This window comes from Homo sapiens, chromosome 8, assembly GCF_000001405.40.
Source record: "Homo sapiens chromosome 8, GRCh38.p14 Primary Assembly".
Taxonomy (NCBI): domain Eukaryota; kingdom Metazoa; phylum Chordata; class Mammalia; order Primates; family Hominidae; genus Homo; species Homo sapiens.
The window spans coordinates 16,130,448-16,154,444 of NC_000008.11; the positions used below are offsets into that span (position 1 = coordinate 16,130,448).

Genomic DNA, 23,997 nt, shown 5'->3' on the forward strand with positions numbered 1-23,997 from the left:
ATATTAACATGGTGACAAATTGATTTATTTCATTTTTTAAAACTTTTATATTAGGTTCAGGCGTACCTGTGAAGGTTGGTTATATAGGTAAATTGCGTGTCGTGGCAATTTGGTGGACACAGATTATTTTGTCTTCGAGGTAATAAGCATAGCAGCTGAGAGCTTTTCGATCCTCACCCTCCTCCCACCTTCCACCCTCAAGTAGACCCCACTGTCTGTTGTTCCCTTCTTTGTGTCCGTATCTACTCAAAGTTCAGTCCCCACTTATAGGTGAGAACATGAAGTGTTTGGTTTTCTGCTTGTGTGTGTGTTTGTAAGGATAATGGCCTCCAGTTCCAACCATATTCCTTCAAAGAACGTGACTCATTCTTTTGTATGGCTGCATGGTATTCCACGGTGTATATGTACCACATTTTCTTTATCCAGTCTACCAATGATGGGCATTTAGGTTGATTCCATGTCTTTGCTATTGTGAATAGTGCTGTGATGAACATATGAGAGTATGTGTTTTTATGGTAGAACGATTTGTATTCTTCGGGTATATACTCAGTAATGGGATTGCTGGGTCAAATGGTAATTCTGTTTTAAGTTCTTTGATAAACCACCAAAGTGCTTTCCACAATAACTGAACTAATTTACATTTCCATGAGCAGACGATAAGCATTCTCTTTTCTCCACGAACTCGTCACCACAGCATCTGTAATTTTTTGACTTTTTAATAAACAGCCATTCTGACAGGTGTGAGGTGGTATCTCATTGTGCTTTTGGTTTGCATTTCTCTAATGATTAGTGATGTTGAACATTTTTGCATATGCTTGTTGGCCACGTGTACGTCTTCCTTTGAAAATTGTCTGTTCATGTCCTTTGCCTATTTTTTGTCAGGTTTATTTTTTGCTTGTTAAGTTCCTTACAGATTCTGGATATTAGACATTTTTTGATACATAGTTTGCAAATATTTTCTCCCATTCTATGTATCTGTTTACTCTGTTGATAGTTTTTTTTTTTTTTTTTTTTTTTTGTGGTGCAGCAGCTCTCTAATTAGGACCCATTTGTCAATTTTTATTTTTGATGCAATTGCTTTTGGCATCTTCATCGTGAAATCTTTACCAGGTCCTATGTTCAGAATGGTATTTCATAGGTTATCTTTCAGAGTTTTTATAGTTTTAGGCTTTACTTTTAAGTCTTTAATCCATCTTGAGTTGATTTTTGTATATGGTGTAAGGAAAGAGTTCAGTTTCAGTCTTCTGCATATGGCTAATCAGTTATCCCAGCACCATTTATTGAAAAGGGAGTCCTTTTCCTATTGCTTGTTTTTATCGGCTTTGTCAAAGATCAAATAGTTGTAGATGGTTGGCAATGTTTCTGGGTTCTCTATTCTGTTCCATTGGTGTATGTGTCTGTTTTTGTACTAGTACCATGCTGTTTTTGTTCTGTACCCCTGTAGTATAGTTTGAAGTCAGGTACCATGATATCTCCAGCTTTGTTCTTTTTCTTAAAATTGGCTTGGCTCTTTGGGCTCTTCTTTGGTTCCATATACACTTTACAATAGGGTTTTTTTTTTTTCTAATTACGTGAAGAATGTCATTGGTAGTTTGAGAGGAATAGCATTGAATGTATAAATTGCTTTGGGTGGTGTGGCCATTTTAATGATACCGATTCTTCCTATCCATGAGCTTGGAATGTTTTTCTATTTTTTTGTGTCATCTAGGATTTCTTTGAGCAGTGGTTTGTAGTTCTCCTTGTAGAAGTCCTTCACTCCCCTTTTTAGCTGTATTCCTAGGAATTTTATTCTTTTTGTGGCAATTGTGAATGGGGTTGCATTCCTGATTTGGCTCTCAGCTTGACTGTTATTGGTGTACAGAAATGCTAGTGATTTTTGTACACTGATTTTGTATCCTGAAACTTTGTTGAAGTTGTTTATCAGCTGAAAGAGCTTTTGGGTCAAGACTATGGGGTTTTCTAGATATAGAATCATGTTGTCTGCAAACAGATAGTTTGACTTTTTCTCTTTCTATTTTGATACTGTGTATTTCTTTTTTTGTTTTGTTTTGTTTTTTTGAGACAGAGTCTCACCCTGTCACCCAGGCTGGAGTGCAGTGGCATGATCTTGGCTCACTGCAACCCCTGCCTCCCAGGTTCAAGTGATTCTCCTGCCTCAGCCCCCCAAGTAGCTGGGACTACAGGCACCCACCACCACACTGGCTGATTTTTGTATTTTTAGTACAGACGGGTTTTGCCATTTGGCCAGGCTGGTCTGGAACTCCTTACCTCAGGTGATCTTCCCACTGCAGCCTCCCAAAGTAGATGCCCTATATTTCCTTATCTTGCCTGATTGCTCTGGCCAGGACTTCCAATACCATGCTGAACAGGAGTAGTGGAGAGGGCATCATTATCTTGTGCTGGTTTTCAAGCAGAATGTTTCCAGGTTTTGCCCATTTAATATGATGTCGCTGTGGGTTTTTCAAAGATGGCTCTTATTATTTTGAGATATGTTCCTTCAACACCTACTGCATTGAGAGTTTTTAACATGAAGAGGTGTTGAATTTTATCAGAAGCGTTTGCTGTATCTATTGAGATCATCATGTAGTTTTTGTTGTTAGTTTTATGAGGTGAATCACATTTATTGATTTGCAAACTTTTCCATTATTAGTAAAATATGGGGAGATTAAAACAGTTTGTGGAAAAAAGCAATTAAAAGGTAAAAATCACAAAATATAAATTTTACTTCTCAACATAAGCTCCATCAAGTTCAAGACACTTTTATAGGTGATGATACTAGCCATTTAGTCCATTCCTAAAGACCTGAGGATCTTAAGAATTTAACTATATCAATGTTGTAATCTTCTCATTATTGAAAGAAGAAAAATTGGTGTCCTTTAAAAATATTTTGAGAGTGGGAAGCTAAAAGAAGTCAGAAGGAGCCAAATGAAGATTGTAAGGTAGATGCCCAATGATTTCCCATTGAAACTCTCCCAAAAATTGTCCTAGTTTGATGAGAGAAATGAGCAAGAGCATTGTCATGATGGAGACTCCCTGGAGAAGCTTTCCTGGGAGTTTACTGTTAAAACTTTGGATAACTTTCTCAAAATACTCTCATAGTAAGCCTAGGTTACCATTCTTTGGCCCTCCAGGAAGTCAACAAGAAAAATCACTTGAGCATCCTCAAAAACTGTTGTGAGAACCTTTGTTCTTGACTGGTCTGCTTTTGCTTTGACTGTAACACTTCTACCTCTTGGTAGCCATTGCTTTGATTATGCATTGTCTTCAGGATTATACTGGGAAATCCATGTTTTATCTTCTCCTATAATTCTTCAAATAAATGCCTCAGGATATTGACCCCACTTATTTAAGATTTCCACTGAAAGCTCTGCTGTTGTCTGCAGCTGATCTGGACACAATAGTTTTGGCACCCATCTAGAAAAAACTTTACTCAACCTTAATTTCTAAGTCACAGTTGTGCAAGCCAAACCAGTTGAGATGTCTGTGGTGTTGGCTGTTGTTCTGCTGTCTCAGTTCTTTTCAATTAAGGCACAAACAAGATGTATTTTTTTCCTCACAAATTGACGTGGATAGTCAGCTGCTGCAGGGTTCATCTTCAATATTTTCTTATCCCTTTGTAAAACTGAGTTCTCTTTTTGTCAACTGCTGATTCCTTTGGGACATTGTGCCTATAAACTTTTCATAAAGTATCGGTGATTTCACCATTCTTCCAAACAAGTTTCATCATAAATTTCATGTGTGTTCTTGGTTCCATTTTAGCAATATTTATGTGGCTCTGATAGGGGCTCTTTTTAAATAGATACCTTATTGTTCTTAGTGCATCAAATTAGATTCTATTCAGACATGTTATAATAAGCTAGCTTGTTTTAGTGCAGAATTTTTGAAATCCATGTATAGTGTTTTCCTAATACATATTTTCCATGATTTTTTGAAGACCCCTTGCATTTGTTATGGCAATCAGTGACCTTTGAGATTACTACTGTGATTAGTTTGGGGAACCACAAACCATGCCCGTAAAAGATGGCAAACTTAGTTGATATATGTTGTGTGTATTCTGACTGCTCCACCAACTGGCTGTTCCCCCTTCTGTCTCTCTTCCTCTCCTCAGGCATCCCTATTCCCTGAGACACAGCAATATTGAAATTAAACAAATTAGTAACCTTAACAACGGCCTCTAAGTGTTCCATTGAAAGGAAGAGTGGCACATCTCTCATTTAAATCAAAAGCTACACATGATAAACCTTAGTGAGAAAGGCGGGTTGAAAGTCAAGACAGGCTGAAAGTATGAAATTTACCTAAGTTGTAAATGTGAGAAAAAGTTCTTGAAAGCAATTAAAAGTGCCACTCCAGTGAACACAAAAATAATAAGAAAACAAACCACCTTATTGCCGATATAAAGTTTTAGTTAGTGGCCTTCATATATGATCAAAATAACCATGACACTCACTTAAGACAAATCCAAGTCCAGAGCAAGGCTCTACCTCTCTTCAATTCTATGGAGGCTGAGAAAGGTGAGGAAACTGCAGGAGAAAAGTTGGAAGCTAGCAGAGGTTGGTTCATAAGGTTTAAGGAAAGAAGCCATCTCCATAACATAAAAGTACAAGATGATTTAGCAAGTGTGGATATAGAAGCTTCAGAAAATTGTCCAGAAGATCTAGTTAGGATAATTGATGAAGGTTACTACACTACACAACAGATTTTCAATGTAGATGAAACAGCTTCTGTTGAAAAAGATGCCATCTATAACTTTCATACTTAGAGAGGAGTTCATGCTTGACTTCAAAGCTTTGAAGTATAGGCTAATTCCCTTGTTAGGGGCTAATGCAGCCAGTGACTTTAAGTTGAAGGAAATGCTCATTTGCTATTCTGAAAATTCTAGGGCCCTTATGAGTTATGCTAAATGTCCTCTCCCTGTGCTCTAGAAATAGGACAATGAGGCCTGGGTGACAGCACGTCTGTTGACAGCATGGTTTACTGAATATTTTAATCTTACTGTTGAGACTTATTGCTGAGAAAAAAAATCCTTTTAAAATATTACTGCTCATTGAGAGTGCACCTGGTCACCCAAGAGCTCTGATGGAGATGGACAGAAAGACTGGTGTTGTTTTCATGCCTGCTAACACAATATCCATTGTGTAGCCCATGGATCCAGGATTAATTTTTACTTTCAAGTCTTATTACTTAAGAAATACATCTTGTAAGGCTGTAACTGACACAGAGAGTGATTCCTCTGATGTGTCTGAGCAAAGTAAATTGAAAACTTTTTGGAAAGGTTTCACAATCCTATATGGCATTAAAATAATTTATAATTCATGGGAGAAGGTCAAAGTATTGAGGTTAACTGAAATTTGGAAGAAGTTGATTCCAACCCTCATGAATGACTGTGAGGGGTTCAAGACTTTAATGGAGAAAGTCACTACAGATGTGGTATAAATAATAAGAGAAGTGGAGAACTAGAATTAGAAGTGGAGCCTGAGGATGTGGCTGAATTGCTGCAATCGATAAAACTTGAATGGATTAGGGGTTGCTTCTTATGGATGAGCAAAGAAAGGGTTTTTTTGAGATACAACCTACTCCTGAAGGGAAGATGCTGTGAACATTGTTGAGACGACAACAAAGGATTTAGAGTATCATATAGATTTAGTTGACAAAGCAGCAGCAGAGTATGAGAAGACTGATTTTAATTTTGAAAGAAGTTCTAAAGTGGGTCAATGCTATCAAATAGCATCCATTGCATGCAGCAGAGAAATCTCTCATGAGGAGAAGACTCCATCAACGTGGCATATTTCATTGTTGTCTTAAGAAATTGCCACAGCCACCTCAATCTTCAGCAACCATCACGCTGATTAGTAAGCAGCCATCAACACGGAGGCAAGACCCTCCACCAGAAAAAGATAACAACTTCCGGAAGGTTCAAATGATTGTTAGCATTTTTTAGCAATAAAGTATTTTAAAAATTAAAGAACACTTAATAGACTCCAGTGTAGTGTAAATATAACTATTATATGCACTGGGAAACCAAAAAATTTGTCTGGCATGTTTCATTGTGATAATTGCTTTTTTTTTGCCTTGGTCTGGAACTGAAACCACAATATGTCCACAGTATGCCTGTATTAGCTATACACTCTATTAAGGAACACATCTATTGTGTTAATGGAATGCTGCATTTTTTTTGAGAAGGAGTATTGCTCTGTCTCCAGGCGGGAGTGCAGTGGCATGATCTCAGCTCACTGCAACCTCTGCCTCCTGGGTTCAAGCGATTCTCCTGCCTCAGCCTCTCAAGTATTTGGGACTACAGGCATGCACAACCACACCCAGCTAAATTTTGTATTTTCGGTAGAGACAGGGTTTCACCATGTTGGCCAGGATGGTCTCAATCTCTTGACCTTGTGATCCACCCACCTTGGCCTCCCAAAGCGCTGGGATTACACGTGTGAGCCACCGCTAATTTGTGAACCCACAGAAAGCTCTAAACACCATGTAACTGTCAAGGATGAGCAGCATTTACCTAAGTTACCTGGAACCATCCCTACTCAGGTACACTCAGTTCTGCTAACTCATAACTAGTGCTACTAAGAAAGTACATTATGGAGTTAAAAAAAAAGACACAATAAAAAAAGAGAGACATTGGAGCAGCCAAATAATAGTGAAAAATGTTAAGGCTGAGCCCGTTAGCAAAATAAAGATAGAATATTAACAGGTAGCTCTTCCCCAGGTGCACATAAGTAGCTCTCATTAGTGATAATGGAAGCTTTGTGAGCATTCTAGGAAGACTATGTTTCTGAGTAATATCCTTAGGAGGGAGACTAGAGGCAATAGCTGGAGTAGTTATGAAGGTGGAAACACAAACAAATAAAGAATAACTGAGAATGCTTATTTGGAATTTGATCTGCCGTAAGAATTTTTATCTCTTTAGCTCTTCAAATTACTAGGCCCATTCTAGAAAACCAAACTGCTCATTACAAATTTCTTCCTTTTCTGCCTTTCTCTCTCTCTATCTATCTCTTTCTCTCTTTCCCTCTCTTTCTCTTTGCATACCCTCCACATGACATATCTGTGATATATATAAAAATACATAATACTAGTGTGGGAATATTGAATGGAGTCATAAGGACTTTGGAGATTTAAAGACCTGGCTTTGAGTTTCTGTTCTTCCACTTATTAGCAGTAAGCCACAGTTTATAATTCTAGAAATTGGGATAATAGTCCTTCACCCAAATGCTCTTCTGAGGATTAATGTATAATGCACCAAAAACCCTGTTGGGTTGGGTGTAGTGGCTCACACCTGTAATCCCAAGATTTTGGGAGGTTGAGGCAGGAGGATCGCTTGAGGCCAAGAGTTTGCACCAGCCTTGGCAATATAGTGAGATCCCATTTTTATTTTTATTTTTTTAAATAGCCAAGCATGGTGGTGTGTGCCTAAAGTCCTAGCTACTCAGGAGGCTGAGGTGGGAGGATCATTTAAGCCCAGGAGCTTAAAGCTGCAGGGAGCTATGGTCGTGCCACTGTAGTCCAACCTGTGCAACAGAGCAAGACTCTGTCTCTTAAAAAAAGATAAAGGAAAAAAAAAAAAAGCCCTTGCCTCACAGGCTTTACTTTGATCAACAATGCTTTGGAAAAAGACTAGTATTCATTTAAGATTGAGCTGAGTCCTTAGTAAAAATCAAATGAAAAAACAAATGGATTTTTCCTATCGTTGTTTGAGTTTTAGATAGGATACTCAAAATTCACATCCTAGTTGTAGTCTCATTGCACTTGAGCAAAGAATGATGAGAAATACTACCAAACCACATATTGGTAATTGAGATATTTAGGACAGAGCCTCACACAAGTGTTGTATTGTATGGTAGGAATCATTTCGTGTGACTGAAACATCACTCTTCCGCGTTAAGGTGAGAACACAACAGACGATTCACTATGACTAGCGTTAGAGCTTAGTGAAGGCTTCTTTTCTCTTCATTATGCATTTTTAAAGTTGATAAAATTTGTGCCATTTGTGCCAATAATTTGAACAGGGCATTCAGCATCCATTTTTTGTCTAAAGAGAGAAGACTTTCTTCCCTAATTTGAAAAGTTTGGATTAGTTTTTCACACTGAAAAATCTATATTTAGTCTAGGATGTCAGATGACTTTTTAACTGAATCCCTGGAATTGTCTCCCAGCATCTCTGGGACCGAGGCCATCGTGTGGCTGATGTAGACCAAGGTCTGCTGAAGAAAGCTGCTCATACTCTACCTGACTTGCAGTGCAGAATGGGACAGGAGGTCTCACAAAATTAAACCAAGGAAAAGGAGTTACAACTTATCTCTAGATGTTTGTGTAAACTGGCTATTCAATGTTGCTAGCCTGCTAATAGTCAGGAGTATCTGAACAAGTGGCTAATTCTTCTCTCCCTTTTATTTCTGGAGATTTTAATGTCATGTAGGCATAAAACCAGAGTACCATTGACAACTCTAACTTGTTTCAACCTTTCTTGGAATTTTCTCATCAGCATTGTCTTGGGCCCATGCTTTGTTCTTCAGAGACTGGACTCTTGTTTTATTAGCCTGACATTTTGTTTTGACCTCTGTTGACACCTTCTGCCCTCCGGCGTGCACTCTGTTTAGTAGCTTCTTTTATTTATAACTAATGCTCTTCTGCTCGACTCAGACAAACTCATTGATTTGCAATCTGGTCACACTTGCATTGCTCTATCTAATATAAAATCTTTTCTTTTTCTCGAGCATCTCTCTTTTTGCCATGACATTTATTCAGCTTCTTGCATTTTCATTTTGCTTTCACTCCTATTCTGATTACAGATTAAAAATGTCTGCATTATACCAGCGGGGAAAAGCTATTCCAGTTCAGAGAGATCACTGCGAAGCATACCTTACATCTTTAAAGGACTTTATGATTTCACAGAGCATCTTCACACACACAATATCTTACTTGATCCTCACAACAACCCTGTGAGGTAGGTGTTAACATGTTCATTATACAAGAGTGGGAATAAAAATGCTGAGATACACAGAGGCATACCATCTAGAGTTCTACTAGAATCTTAATAGTATGAATCTTGGGTCTGTGTGTTAAAACGTAAAGGAAAGAAGAGTTGTGAAAATGTAGTCTGTTGATCAGTAGAGAGAAACCAAAAATATAACATGTAATCCCATAAGAGATTTTTAGAACAAAAGAATATTGGTATTCTTTTTCATGATCAAAATATTTTTGTTTGAAATGACCAGGTAATACATGAAAAGTTTTATTTTTGGTTTAAATGGGTTGGATAAATTGCCCAAGCTCGACTACACTTCAAAACTTAAAAAAAAAAAAAAAAAAAAAAAAAAAATATATATATATATATATATATATATATATATATATATATATATATATATGCTGTAATTTGGAAAATAAGAAGATGAGAAGGTAAAATAAGAATCAATTTTTAAAAAATATTCTAAGGAATTAAAATTTTTTTATCTCCTCTGCATACCTATCCAGCCCTGTTCCTCCCCCAGTATAGCTTAGATGTATTGTAATTGCTTGTTCATTTGTCTACATCTCTTAGGGACAATTAGCTCTGTAAAACCAGAGACAATTATCTCTTATTAGCTGTTATGTCCAGCTCATGGAGGTACATAATGGACATGTGAATTAATGATTGAATGAATGGATTTTCTTCTATGACATCCCTATCTCTGGTTGAGAATAATGTTTGAATATAAAGAACTCTCATATTATCAATACTCATGACAGTTCTCCTAGAACCCAATAAATTAAATTGTGTTCTAGACTCTAGGTGAATGCGTGTAGTCCAGCCTGTGCAATAGAACAAGGCTCTGTCTCTTAAAACAAGAAAAAGAAAAAAAAAAAGCCCTTGACTCAGTCTTTACTTTGATCAAAAATGCTTTGGAAAGAGACCAGTATTCATTGAAGATTGAGCTGATTCCTCAGTAAAAATCAAATGAAAAACAAATGGATTTTTCCTATCATTGTATGAGTTTTAGATGGGATACTTAAAATTTACACCCTAGTTGTAGTCTCATTGCGCATGAGCAAAGCATGGCGAGAAATACTACCAAACCACATATTGGTAATTGAGATATTTAGGACAGAGCCTCACACAAGTGTTATATTGTATGGTAGGAATCGCTTTGCTTGACTGAAACATCACTCTTCCAAGTTAGGGTGAGAACACAGCAGTTCTCCTAGAACCCAATAAATTAAATTGGGTTCAAGACTCTAGGTCAATGGGTGGCAGAGAACTGAGGACTGGTTGGAGCAGCCCTCCAGTCCGTGCATGAGAGGTGTCCAGGCTGGGGGTGATAGGGGAGAGAGGTGATGGTGGAGTAATTGGAGTAAGAAGAGGTATGAGCATGGGAGCAGAGGCCCAAACAGCACCAGGGACCAGGAGAGAAGGCCATGTGGAAGTCAGGTACAACACGGGAACCAAAGTCATTTGGAGGAGTCACAAAAGGATCTTGGAAGTCAGTTGTGCAGATGACTTGTCCAGAGGTGAAGGGCCTTTTAATGAGATGGTAGCAGAGGATGTCCCGCCCAACCCACCTGATCTTAAGAGGGCCCTGCCCTAATATGATCAGTGAGTTGTACTGGTCCTGACACATATATAAAGGAGGAAATTAATTATTTTTAACATATTTTCAGAAAGCCTTACAAAATTTTAAAGATGCATATGAAAACATTCAATATAAATTTTCACATACCACCATTAACTACAGATGTGGGGAATCAGGCACTTTCATACAGAATAAATTGGTACAAGCTTTTAGCAGCCATTTACAATAATTCATCAAATGGTAAAATGTATGTAACCTTTGAACCATTGATTCTACTTCTAGCAAATTCCCTATTAAAAAGTATTCCCACAAGATTACATGTGAGAGTGTTGAATGTAGCATTGTTTATTAAAGTCTGACCAAAGCAAACAAAAATCATTTAGTGTTCAGGACTAGAGGAGTGAATGGCTATATTATGGTGATTATGGTGTAGCTGAATAATAGAATAATGTGTAGCCATTGAGAGAAAAGAGGTAGTGACATATATAATGATATGGACAGATGACTGACATATTAACATAAGCGAAAAGCAGAATATACCACATTAGATGTTTATGTATATCATTCTTTGTTTTTAAAGCATTATGCAGTTGTTATATACTCTGCATGAGGAGGGAGGGCATGGTGGAGAATGCAGAGGCTGTATACAAACATCTCTCTTACTCCTTCCTCAAAGAAAGCATGTGCATAAACTCCAAAATAGCCATGAAAATACTGTAACTGAAAACATTTCTGAACATATCTGAAGAAAATGTTCAAAGCATTTGATAACCTTAGGTAATGGAAGACAGTGGGGTGCTGTTTGCAGTGTAAAAATAAAAAAAAAATAGTTTCTTATTTGCAAAACTTGACTAAAGTCAATGTTAAGAAGCTCAGAGAAAGCCTCAGGAAAAGGAGATAAAAACAAAAGATAAAATAAAGGCAGAGATAAAGATAACATAAGGATAAGAAGGAGAACTTTTTAAGAGGAACTCAGCTGAAAGTAAATGGAGTGAAAAGGAGAAAGAAAGAAGTAAGTCGAGTAAAAAGTACACAGCAGGTGGGCCAGGCTTGGTGGCTCATGCCTGTAATCCCAGCACTTTGGGAGGCTGAGGTGGGCAGATCATGAGGTCAGGGGATCGAGACCAGCCTGGTCAAAATGGTGAAACCCCGTATCTACTAAATAACAAAAATTAGCTGGGTGTGGTGGCATGTGCCTGTAATCCCAGCTACTCAGGAGGCTGAGGTGGGAGAAGAATCATTTCAACCCGGGAGGTGGAGGTTGCAGTGAGCCGAGATGGTGCCACTGCACTCCATCCTGGCGACAGAGCGAGACTCCATCTCAAAACAAACAAACAAACAAACAAAAAAACAAAAAAGTATACAGCATTCAAAAGTGACCACATTAAAGAACGAATGGATAGAATGGAGAAAAGACAGACAGATTAATGTTTCTATTGTTTTAATATAACAGTAATACTCATTAAGTAACACTAAAGTACTCCGAAGACACACAATACTCTGTTGTACTTTGAAAGCATCATGATTACACTAATGACTACTCTAATGGCTGGTATTCACAACCATGCCCTACTTTGTCTAAATATGTCATACCTACACAATATTAGGTTAAAATAATTAGGTTTTGTAGGGCAGATAAATTGCTACTGTATATTTCTAGATAATGATTACAAATAAAAACTGCCAGATTTTGGTACATAAAAGGATTTGCCATTATCTGCCTAAAACAGACCCCTGATGATTAAATATGATCACCCTGTTTGTGTTACCTATCCCATGGACACACAGACACACACACACATCACATGTAGTTTCTACTGGGAATACAGAGGGAGGGAGGAGCCTTCTGATTCTGAGAAGTTAAGTGGGGATTCCACACTCCTCTTCATAATCCTTTCATTATATCAGTATACATTCAGCCTAGACACAACAATTGACTTACAGCATGGCAAATAGAAGACATCTCATCTAATATTTAGTATTTAAGGTCCAATTAACAGGTTGTGTATATTGCAACATGAGGTCGGCAGTAGATTGACAAATATTCTTGTTGTGAAATCTATTCTGTTGTAGGTTTAAAGGTTTAGAACATGGAATACCACATTTCAAGTTTTTAGAAAAATAAACGAAGAGCCCCAGACATCAGATAGTTAATTTTTCAGGGTTCTTAAACTGTCCAAATTCTTATATTTAAGGTTTCATTTAGTAAGGAAGGAGGTTGTAATTGTTTCTATGCATAAGCTTGATTTTCCCTTAGTGGATAGAAATTGACTTGAAAATTGAACAATTTTCTTTGTGGAATTTTTAGAAAATAGTATTCATCACAAAAACAAAAGACAAATGGATAATGAGATTGAAAGAGTTGTATAATATAATCTATTTGTTTTACCCCAATTAGCATGCTTATTTGTAGAAAATTATGTTTGGCTTCCATAGAGTCTGTATGGATCTGTGCTGAAGTTGCGAACATTTGCCTCAAGCCCAGATCTCTAGTATCACAGACTTACTTATTACAAGAATTCACACAGAAAACAAAATACTATATACTTACTTAATGTGTTTCCACTCCCCTTTTCCCCTTTCTGGCCTTTTGGTCCAGAATTTCCTTGAGAAAAGAAGAAAAATATTTGTTTTTAATCAGGGCAATTCACAATGTTTGCTTTAACTGGAGACAGATCATCACAAGGTAATTAAAATATAATAGAATGGACAGATATTGAAATGTATAATAACATTGTATAATGTTAACAATAATAATAGTTATTACTTAGGAAGCTCCATTCTGAACTCAATATTGTGATATTTCAAATTATTTACAAGGCCCTAAATGCCCCATTTTCCTAAATCAAGCAAAGCTGAAGAATAAGGAGTTTGTTTTGTACTTATTTATCCTCCTTTTCTCCTCTTCCTTTGACTGGGTCTTACTCACACCCCCAGGAAGTCCAGTGCCTTCCATGAGCTCCCACATCCCGTTCTTATATTCACATTACATTTATGGTTTTCATTTCTTTAGAGTGTACCATCCCCAAAAACTGGGCTGCCAATGACTTTCTGGGAGTGTTGAGATTCTTACTCATGGGGAAGGTAGGAAGATCCTTGGAGCGTTCACATCTCCAGGATGATCACCTTTGGTTTTGAGAAACCTCACCCATTTATACAGGGGTGTGGTACAAATATTTCATATGAGGGTCAGGGCTTCAAATGGATGCAGAAACATTGCTAGATCTTTTTTTTTGCCAACGGATTGCTACTTCACCCACTGTCCCATTTTTAAAGGGGTGTGCAGGAGATCTTTCTTTAGTACCAAGAAATCTCTTAAGATTGGTGCTGTTCCTGCTTATTGAGTTTTTTTTCCAACAGCCATGAGATACAATCAGATCTTCAAGTAATTACTACCTTGACATAAATCTAGAACTGATCCTAGTGCTCTCTGTCTCAAAGTCAAAACCTTTGTTAATGTTTTTGATTCCCTCCAGCAAAACTGAGAACCTTCAACCTTTTCATCCTAGAGCTCAGAGGATGTAGTTTAACAACCATAGACTTCAAAATAATAATAGTAATAATTTAGAAACCCCTGTGTTGAGTTATTTTGCTCTGCTACTTACTGGGTATGTGACTTGGGACAAGTCTTTAAATCTTTCTGAGCTAAAGTTTATTCTTCTATAAAATAAAAAAATAACGCTTTTCATTGTAGAGTTGCCTGTTCATTAAGCACTTTGCCCATAAAAGATACACATAAAAGATCTAGTTCTTCTTATTCCTATTCTTCACCTCCTAAAGCTTAGCTGGAATCTTCTCTTTGTGATTTTATTCTCAGAGAATGAGAGAAAAACTTTTTCATCGCAGTTCATTTTATATGGTACAATTATATATAATTTTAGTGTTTATATTTATTTTTGATTTCTCTAGTTTACATTGTCTTCATCTGTGCTTTATTTTGAACATGTGTCATTATGTATTTCTTAGAGAAGATTTTGGATCCTAATTTACCAGCTAAAAAAATACATATATATAATGTAACATATACAATCAGTAGCATGAGACTTGAGGCACTTAAAGAGTAAACATTATTCCCAATTGAAATTGTATTTTGAAGATTTAATGAAATGCCAACCATTTTATATCAGGTCATAATATCAAATTTCTAATTCTCTAATTGCTTTGCATAATGTGATTATACTTTATATCATTAAATTCATTTCTTAATTGTAATTGAGTTGTTTCAGGTACTGCTAAATTGGCAAAAATTGTTGCTACCACAAAGCACCCAAAACCTTTCCTATATTTTGAGAGCATGCTTTAATAAAATATAGTGCCAAATTTTCAGATTGTCCAAGAGGAAAAAGCTCTAAGAAATTGTTAAAAATTAGGGAAGGGAGGAGTTAAAACAAAGTTCTAACTCTTTTCATAAAAGAGAACATAATAAGCAAGCTTAATTTCATTATTTCAACATTAACTTCACAATGAGAAAAGAGAAAGAAACTATGCATTGTTCTTAGAAGTCTTTTCACACAGCAACTTGTCTTAGATATTTCAGAATAGACATGCTTAAGCCAGAGACATGCTTGACCCACGAAAGGTCCTTGTAGCTCTCAGATTCTATGATAAATAAAAAATTAGTTTCATGTTTTTATTTTGCCTTTGTTCTTATACCACTGTGACTTTTCCTTTTAAAGATGGTAAAATAAAATGCCTTATCTCCTTATAAAAAAACAAACAAATGTTTTGTATCATTTTAACATGATTCAGAGATTTGCTTACCGATGATACTTGAAAATCTTTTCTCACACTTGAAAACAGCAAAAATATCCTTTCTAATGGAGAGGAATGTAGTGGTCCTTCAGAATGATACCTTTGGTTAAAAATGAATGCAAGGGCTTGGTCCAAACCTAGAGTTAACTATCTCCTATCCTATGTATTACTCTTTAATAAAAAGTAACTTATATTTCTAAAAGCCATTCAAAAGTAAGAACCAGGTCATATGTAGGAGGATATTCTAACTTGAAAGGATGTAAGAGGGGGTGTCTTCAATAACATCATCATGATTTCAAGCATTTTTTGTGAGCCTCTTATATGAGCCGGATACTAGGTTAGACATTTCTGCTTACATGCCTTAATTACACTAACCAAATTTCTGCAGCTGTAGGCCGCCTTTCCATCCCCCGTTTCTTTCAAGCTACTTTCAAATGTGATCATCCTCTCTCCTAAGCCTTGTGCTTCTTCCTGGTCCCTGAATTCCTCACCTTATAACCACTCATTAACCTTACACTATCTTTTTTGCTTTGCTTTCCTCTGTCTTCAGCCACTCCTCCTCTATTTTATCTTTCCATAAGCATTTAAGTGGTACTCAGATCCTTCCTTCAAAGAAAAAAAAAACCATATGAAACAAACAAAACTAACAAAAAATGCATCTCTTCCTCCTCCTCTGCATAGTGAGGCAGCTTGAGAGTTGAGTCTACCACATCTCCAACCCTTATCAACCATTCCCTTCTCCGCATACCCTAATCTGGTTATCACCCCACCCCACAGAATCTGCTCTGAACAATGGCAACATCCCCACAGCAGCAGGTGCAAAGGGCTTTTTGTAGACTTCACCTTACTTGACCACCTTTGAAACTCTGTGTTTGCCTTTTTTCATGCTCTGTTCTCTGGGTTTTCTTCTTCAGTTGGGCTACTTCTCTTCCATTTGCTACTTTGTTCATCTCAGCCTGTACTTCTGGAACTACTTAAAGCTTTATGCTATGCCCCTTCTCTTTGTACCTTTCCACTCTCTACCCATAAAATATTATTAAAATCAGTGGTTCTGAATAATATTTATATAATCATAGATAAACTTTGTCTTTTAATCTCTGGCCTCTACTCGAAACTTCAGACTCATGTGTTCAACCGTCTGTAGATAGCTCCATGAATCACAGAGAGAAAATGTTCAGTAAACGTGTTGAATTAATAAATGAACTACATATGGTGTAATATTTTAGATAATCCTGAAAATGACCATAACTTACCCTGAGGGAAACAATAAGTCTTTGAATGGACTTCAAGAGGCAAAACAGACAGAAGTACGTTATTTGCATGCTGAAAGTTCTACTATGTTGAACAAGGTAGAACAGAACCTTCTACGGATTTTGAAGACGGGCAAGGTTTCACATCAATTAAATCCTCCAAACTTTCTGAAGTAAATATATCAGGTCTTATAAATGGACTACTCTATAGATCTGCTATGCATGGAGAAAGTGTGAAGTCTTCTCTTTCTCTTCTCATGTTTGTGTATCTTTTCAGTTGTAGACTGTCTTATTCACCCTTCATTTCCCTGTTTCTAGCACTGTACCCTTACGAGCAGTGTGTACTTAATCCATGTAGAAGGAAAGGGCAAGGTGAGAAGAAAAGGAGTGTGGGAGGGAGAATAGAAGAAAATAGATGGAGGATGTTCTTTTTGAACTTTTTGCTTCAGAATCTGATAATGTTTTTGATATCATTCACATAGTCCAGGCTGTGAAAAAATTACAACTCAAGCAATGTAAAGTATCAAAGAGTGTTTATATCACAAATTGGGGTCTTAGCTCTGAAATATATTACTTTATCTATCACGGACCTGTTTTTACTTATTTCATATTTGACAATTATCGGACTTATTTCTAATTTTAGCACCTTCTTCAGACTCTTGTAGAGGAGAGACTGTACTGTTCCTTCTTTTAGTCTGCAGTACAACTAGAACAGCACCTGGCACTGCTGCTGACATCTCTACCAGATTGGTGTCTTTTAATAAGAAGTGATGTCCTAAGGATATGTTTTGTCAAGGGACTTATTACCTCTGCCGTTGTTTTTCTTTGTGCGTGATTACTCTTTCTGCACTGTTTTTTTCCACCTAAACATAATGGTTTTCAAAATGTGGTCCCTGGACCAATAGCATCACCGTCACCTGGACATTGGTGAGGATGCAAGCCCAATCCCAGACCTACTGCATCAGAAACTCTGGGGTGGAGTCCTGTAAGCTGTTTTAACACATCCTCCTGGTGATTCCAACACCTACAATAGTTTTAGAAATACAAACCTAAAGAAATTCTAGGCCTCTTTTAGTCCAGCGCTAACAAACACTACTTTCTATCTAACACATTTTCTTACAGTATGGAATTAATCACTCCTTACTCTCTACTTCCATACAGCAATTTGTCCAACCTCACCAAGGTTGTTTACTTACCACATGGCATTATAGCTAATTGCTTATGCATTTTTTTTCTGTATCCAGCTCCTTAAGAAAAGCAGCTGTGCTGTATTTATCTCCAGCACACAGTGACCCCTCATCAAGTTGTGTGAACTGGGTGAATGAATGAAATAATACTCTCCAAAGCTAAACATAGGTTTACCATTTGATCCAACAATCACACTCTTAGGTAAACTCCTGTCCACAGAAAAGCCAGCACATTAATGTTTATAGCTGCTTTACGTAGAATTTCTAAAACTTTTTTTTTTGAGTCAGGGTCTCACTGTTACCCAGGCTGGAGTGCAGTGGCATGATCTTGGTTCATTGCAACCTCTGCCTCCTGGGTTCAAGTGATCCTCCCACCTCAGCCTCCTGAATAGGATGCCACCATGCCTGGCTAATTTTTGTATCTTTTGGTAGAGACACGGTTTCACCAGGTTGGCCAGGCTGGTCTTGAACTGATGACCTCAAGTGATCCGCCCACCTCAGTGATCTGCCTGCCTTGGCCTCCAAAAGTGCTACGATTACAGGTGTGAGCCACCACGCCCAGCCTAAAACTTTGAAGCAACCAAAGCGTCCTTCAGTAGTTGAATGGATAAACAAATTGTGGTAAATCCATAAAATGGAATACTATTGAGTAATAAAAAGAAATGAGCAATCAGACCATGGAAAGATATAGAGAAACCTTACATTCATATTGCTAAGTGAAAGAAGCCAGTCTGACAAGGCCACATACTGTCTGACTCCAACTATATGACATTCTGGAAAAGGCAAAACTATGGAGTCAGTAAAAAGATCAGCAGCTGCCAAGAGATTGTGGTGGGGAGGAATAGAGTTGGTGGAGCACAGGGGACCTTTAGGGCAGTGAAACTATTCTGTCTAATACTGTAATGATGGATACATGACATTATACATCTGCTGAAACACATAAAATGTACAACAGAAAGAGTGGCCACTAATGTACATTATAGATTTTGGGTAATAATATGTCAGTGTTGGTTTATTAATGGTTACATATATACCACACTAATGCAAGATGTTAATAGTAGAGGAGACCATGTGTGCATGGGTGGTTTATGGGAACTCTCTATGCTTTCTGTGCAGTTTTTCTATAAATGTAAAACTGTTCTAAAAATAAAATGTAGTTTAAAAATACCTCAATGATAGGGACCCTATTCCTTTTTTTTCTTTTTCTTATTTTTTTAGAGACAGGGCCTCACTATGTTGCTCAGGCTCGTCTCAAACTCCTGAGCTAAGCAATCCTCCCACCTCAGCGTCTCAAATAGCTGGGACTACAGGTACTCACCTCTGCACTTGGCCCGACTCTATTCTCTTGATGATAATTCACTTTGAAATGAGGAGACAGTAAGCCTAGCTCTTTCTAAGATTGCTGTTCAAAGTTTGCAATTTAAGCTTAGGCTACTGGCAGAGCTGATGGAAATAATATCATCATGTGTGTACATTTCAAAATGCTGAGCAACCTTGATTCTTAAGCACTAGTAGATAATGGCAGACAATTTATTTTGCAGAGGATAGGATTTCAGACTTCTCTGTATTTTGCTAACAGTAACTTCACAAAGTCTGGCCAGTTGTGGTTAAACGGGTATTTACACTTTGCTTCTTTTTTTTTCTTTGCCAGTCTTTCAACTCTCTTTGTTCAAAGACGGATATCATTGTTAGTGATGATTTATGATTGTGAGGAGTTTATAACTCCTGTGTGTTTTTTTAAACGATTTTCCTTTGGGATATAGAGACTTTCCTCGGGTGAACAGAAGTCAGTTTCAAAAATCTGATTTCAGAAATCATTTCTAGACCACAAAATAACTGCATGTGAATACTAGTATTCACACAATGACCACTTTTTATCATCCAAGAATTTAAAAATATGTATACTACATATATAACATTATGTGTGTGTGTATGTGTGTGTGTGTATATATATATATATATATATATATATATATAAAATTATCTGGTGTTTCTTCTACATATTCTATAAAGAAAATACACATTATTGTAATACCTGGCCTTCCGGCATATCCTGGGAGTCCTCGACTTCCAGGAAAGCCAATTGCTCCCCGATCACCTTTAAGACCCGGAGGACCTACATTATTAACGAAGAAAAAAAGAAGGTAATAATTCATTTTCATACAGACTTGAGAGTATAATGAAAACATCTAGTTTTATAAGTGAATATGAAATTAGAGAATCTTCAAATGAAGGAATAATATCTTTCCTAAAATTTAATGTTTGACATTGAAAAACAATAGAAGCGATAAATATAAACCTTAGTACATTCAGCACATTGTAGCTATTCAATAAATAACATATTGTTGGTAGAAATAAAAGCACATTAGGAAAAATAGATCTTGGAGTTTTAACCAAAAGACTTATGTAGTCAACCAGTAATCATCAAATGGCAGGATCTTGCTGTAGCTGAAATAATAACTTTAAAATGCATAAGCTGAAAATTGAATTCTTAAGATTTGCCTTAGAAAAAAATGCAACTCAAGCAATGTAAAGTATCAACGAGTGTTTTATAAAATAAATTGGTGTCTTGGCTCTGAAATATATTACTTTATCTATCATGGACCTGTTCTTACATATTTCATTGTAATCCCAGGGTAAATAAACATAAACATAAACACACACACACACACACACACACACACACACACATGCGATACACAGATTTACTTATGAGTATGTACTATATACTTACACAAATCCAGGGTTTCATATGCTTAAATGAAAACTGAAAATGGCTATTTTTTTTACCCAATATTACTATGGTGATCATAACAACTGTATATAAAAGAAAATGTTATATTCCAGTGAAATAAAATATTTTATCCTAGAGTTCAGTAGTTCTTGATAAACTATTGTAACAGTTTAGGCATCTTATTTTGTCATTATCAATTCAGAGAGAACTCGTTCACCCAGTCTCACTTGATCCCATGGCAGAGAATGCCATGTTGCCTGCTTTAGACAGGAGCATCTTGGGGCCATAAGAGCATCAGAGAAGCCCCTCCAATGCTGACTTCTCAAGTACCTCACAGTGATGCTCAGAACACAGCTGTTCAACTAAAAATCAAGGATGTTCAACTACAAATCAAGTACATTTTCAATGAATGAACAAATAACTCTGTAAATGAAGCATATGAGATACTTTCATAGAAATCAGGCAGTCATAGACCTCTGTTCTTGGAGATGGTTAAGCAGACTCTATATGGCCTATGGAGTTATGTGACTTGTTTGTTTAATGATGGTTCAAAATGTAGTCCCCAAAATGTAAGCACAGCTGTTGAACTTTATTCCATAAGATCAGATACCCTGAGGCTTTCAGGAGGCAATTAACTAATTTTCTACAATAATCTGTGGCAATGGGAAAGGGTCTGGCACCTGCTTCTAACTCATGGACAATATAAGTACAGTTACATGGAATCTCAGCCATGGGATGTTCAAAGAGACGTTAGACATCATCAAGTCAGAATCCATCATTTTAGAGACAGTTCCATGAGACCAGAGTGATCAAATCACTTACATAAAGCTGGTCTGATAATTATTCACATGTCCTAGGTGTCCTGCTCCATTCAGGCTCCTTCCTGCAAAGTAGCAGACTGGTTAAGGGCATGGACTCTGCACTCATGCCCATTGGGGTTCAAATACCAGCTTTGCCACTTACCAGTTGCTGATTGACCTCAAGCAAGTCATTTAACTTTACTGTGCATTGCACCTGTAAAATGGGTGTATTATTTGTTTCTGCATCATCAGGCTGATGTGATAGTTAAAAGAGCTCATACACGTAAAACACTTAGAAAAGTGCCTGGCATGTAATGACTACTTTGTAAATGTTAGCTTTTCTTGTTCTCCTCCCCCTCTTCCTCATCCTCCTCCTCAGTAATACAATCATTATTTTTACCAGCCTGTTGTAAAGGCTTCTAAATTTAGTTTTATTAAATGATACGTACACAGTTAGCAGTGACATTTTTTGATTCACTGGCACAATTTGTTACTTCCAGAAAAAACCCACTTTCAATACTCAGGTGTAGAGCGACAGCCTGCAGCCAGGCAACATTCCTTACTCAGGTGTATATTTAAGGATCCTGTCCTTGCTGAAGCTTTAGGGAGGGGCCTTCTTGGGGCCATAGCCTATGGGAAGGGGCGGGCCAGGGTAAAGATATACGTGGATATAAACATTAATAAAATATGGTTCCTCTCTTCCAATATCTATGGGTAAGATGAGCTTTATTTTCTCTTCTGGAAGCACGATTCCTATGGTGGAAAATTCAGACTACGTAAGGAAGTAAATAGTACTGGTTGATGATGAAAAGTTTGCAGCCAGAGAAGCCTTCAGTTCTCTCGAGGGCATCTCATGTAGGTAGCCCCACCCATGCCTACAGGTCAAACTACCTTGTTATTGATCACATTGGGCATAAACAGCTTCTTAGATGGCCCACACAAAGTTTCCTTTAGAAAAGAAAGTTGCTTCTCCTTCAAAACATTGTTGTCATGGGTAAAATCAGCCCCTTAAAAGAAACTCACATGAGATAAAAAATCCTTGATCATGACATTTGCCTCCCTTATATTACTACTTATCATCCTGGAAGCGCTGTGAATTCAGAGATTCTGTATCTGTTTACACATACTCTATAGGGTATTGTAGAACACCAGGCCTGGAGAAAGTGCTCAGCACATAGTTTTTGAGTGAAAAGTGATAGGTCATTCTCCCTAGCATGCTTTCAAGGAAATAGCCCTCTAAAATAAATTTGTTATTATTTGGGGAATAAAGCATATTTAAACATAATATCCACCCTAGTATATGAATAATAATTCTACTATATTTAATGTATTAGTTATTTGAGGCTACTAGGACAACCACTTAGGTTTTGCAGATATTCGCATCATGATTGTGAGTCTAGGTGAGTTTGACTTGGTCAAGCTGAGTTTAGTAGGCTCAAATGGATGTAGAGATGGGGAAGCAATAAACCTGCTCAGATTAGAAAGCAGAATTAGTATGATTGTCCATCATATACTCTTTGCTTCCTGATTTCGGCATCAAATATAAGGCAATTAGACAATCTGGTGGAGAAACGAACAGAATGCAGCAAGACATCCAGAAATAATTCATTAGGAAAGATGCCTGGTATTTTGAATACTTTTCTTGTAGTGCACCAAACAAAATGGTAACCTGATAACCTAGAAGAGTCATTGATTACCCCAGGAACTCGACCTGTCTTTTATGAGGAACTGGGTAATGCCTATTTGTGTAAATGAGCAGTACCAAAAGCAACAAATTATGACATCACTTTTTACCCTGTAAATTTAAACCATGACAAATCGTTAATTTACAATAAAAAAAAAACAAAATCAAAGATTCTTTGCAATGGTGTCTATTTATAACATTAACACAAGCTGAAATTTATAAATCCTTCTATTTCATACATTCACAGTTCAGAAACAGCTGCAGAAGATTCTCCCAAGATGAAGCACTGTATGGCAAGATGTAGCCCAGACTGAATTTTTATGGTTGAGTTATAAAGCTCTGACAATTGCAGCCTGTATGGAGGGGGTGATAGACCCTTGACAATGGTAGTTCTGGCAGCAGATTTAATACTGGTTATTTCCTCTGCTTATGACATTAATGCAGCATTGTTAATATCTGATTAGCATTAGTCAAGTAGAAAGACTTTCCTGAATAAAAATTCTTTCCTGGCAAGGCATTCAAAAGCACATCAATACTAATACCACCTGACTTGGCATATTATATATATGGGTAGGATTGCTATTTTATATATATAAAACATGTGTACCTGGATGTATATCATCTATCTTCACATATAATATGCCATATATATTTATATACATATATATACATATATGTGCTTAGGCAGGTATCAAGTTCATGCTTCTCATTTTCAAAAATTTTTCTGATGTGACCAGGGCTAGTCAATACACTGATCAGAAAGAAGAACCTTTTATATAATCAAAAGACAGAAAAATAAGATGAAGTACATGGTATTTAGACATGTTTTGGTAACACAAACCATTCTACTTATAATTAGACCTTGCAGTATACTTCCTACCATCAAACGGCATGCAGGATATTTGATTTCAAGCCAAGGCTAACATGACAATCATGTTATTATCTTTTTTATTTTTTCAAGCAAAGAAAGTTCATGTTCTCTCTTCTGTGTCTTCTTTCAAAATATTTCTTTCAAGATTACAACTTAGAGG

The 23,997-nt window shown here is 36.9% G+C and overlaps 1 protein-coding gene across 5 annotated transcripts in view; it reads right to left on the minus strand.

Annotated features, from left to right (window-relative positions):
• MSR1 (macrophage scavenger receptor 1) overlaps positions 1–23,997 on the minus strand; it is an 84,771-nt gene that overhangs the window by 22,567 nt on the left and 38,207 nt on the right. For 3 of the 5 annotated variants that reach the window (NM_138716.3, NM_138715.3, NM_001363744.1), the window contains exons 7-8: positions 19,784–19,864; positions 13,111–13,164 (exon numbers count right to left, since the gene is read on the minus strand). In NM_138716.3, the coding sequence (NP_619730.1) occupies positions 13,111–13,164; positions 19,784–19,864 (135 nt within the window). Of the gene's footprint in view, positions 1–8,869; positions 10,599–13,110; positions 13,165–19,783; positions 19,865–23,997 lie in introns of those variants that run through there. The other 2 variants (NM_002445.4, XM_024447161.2) reach the window with 1 other exon arrangement.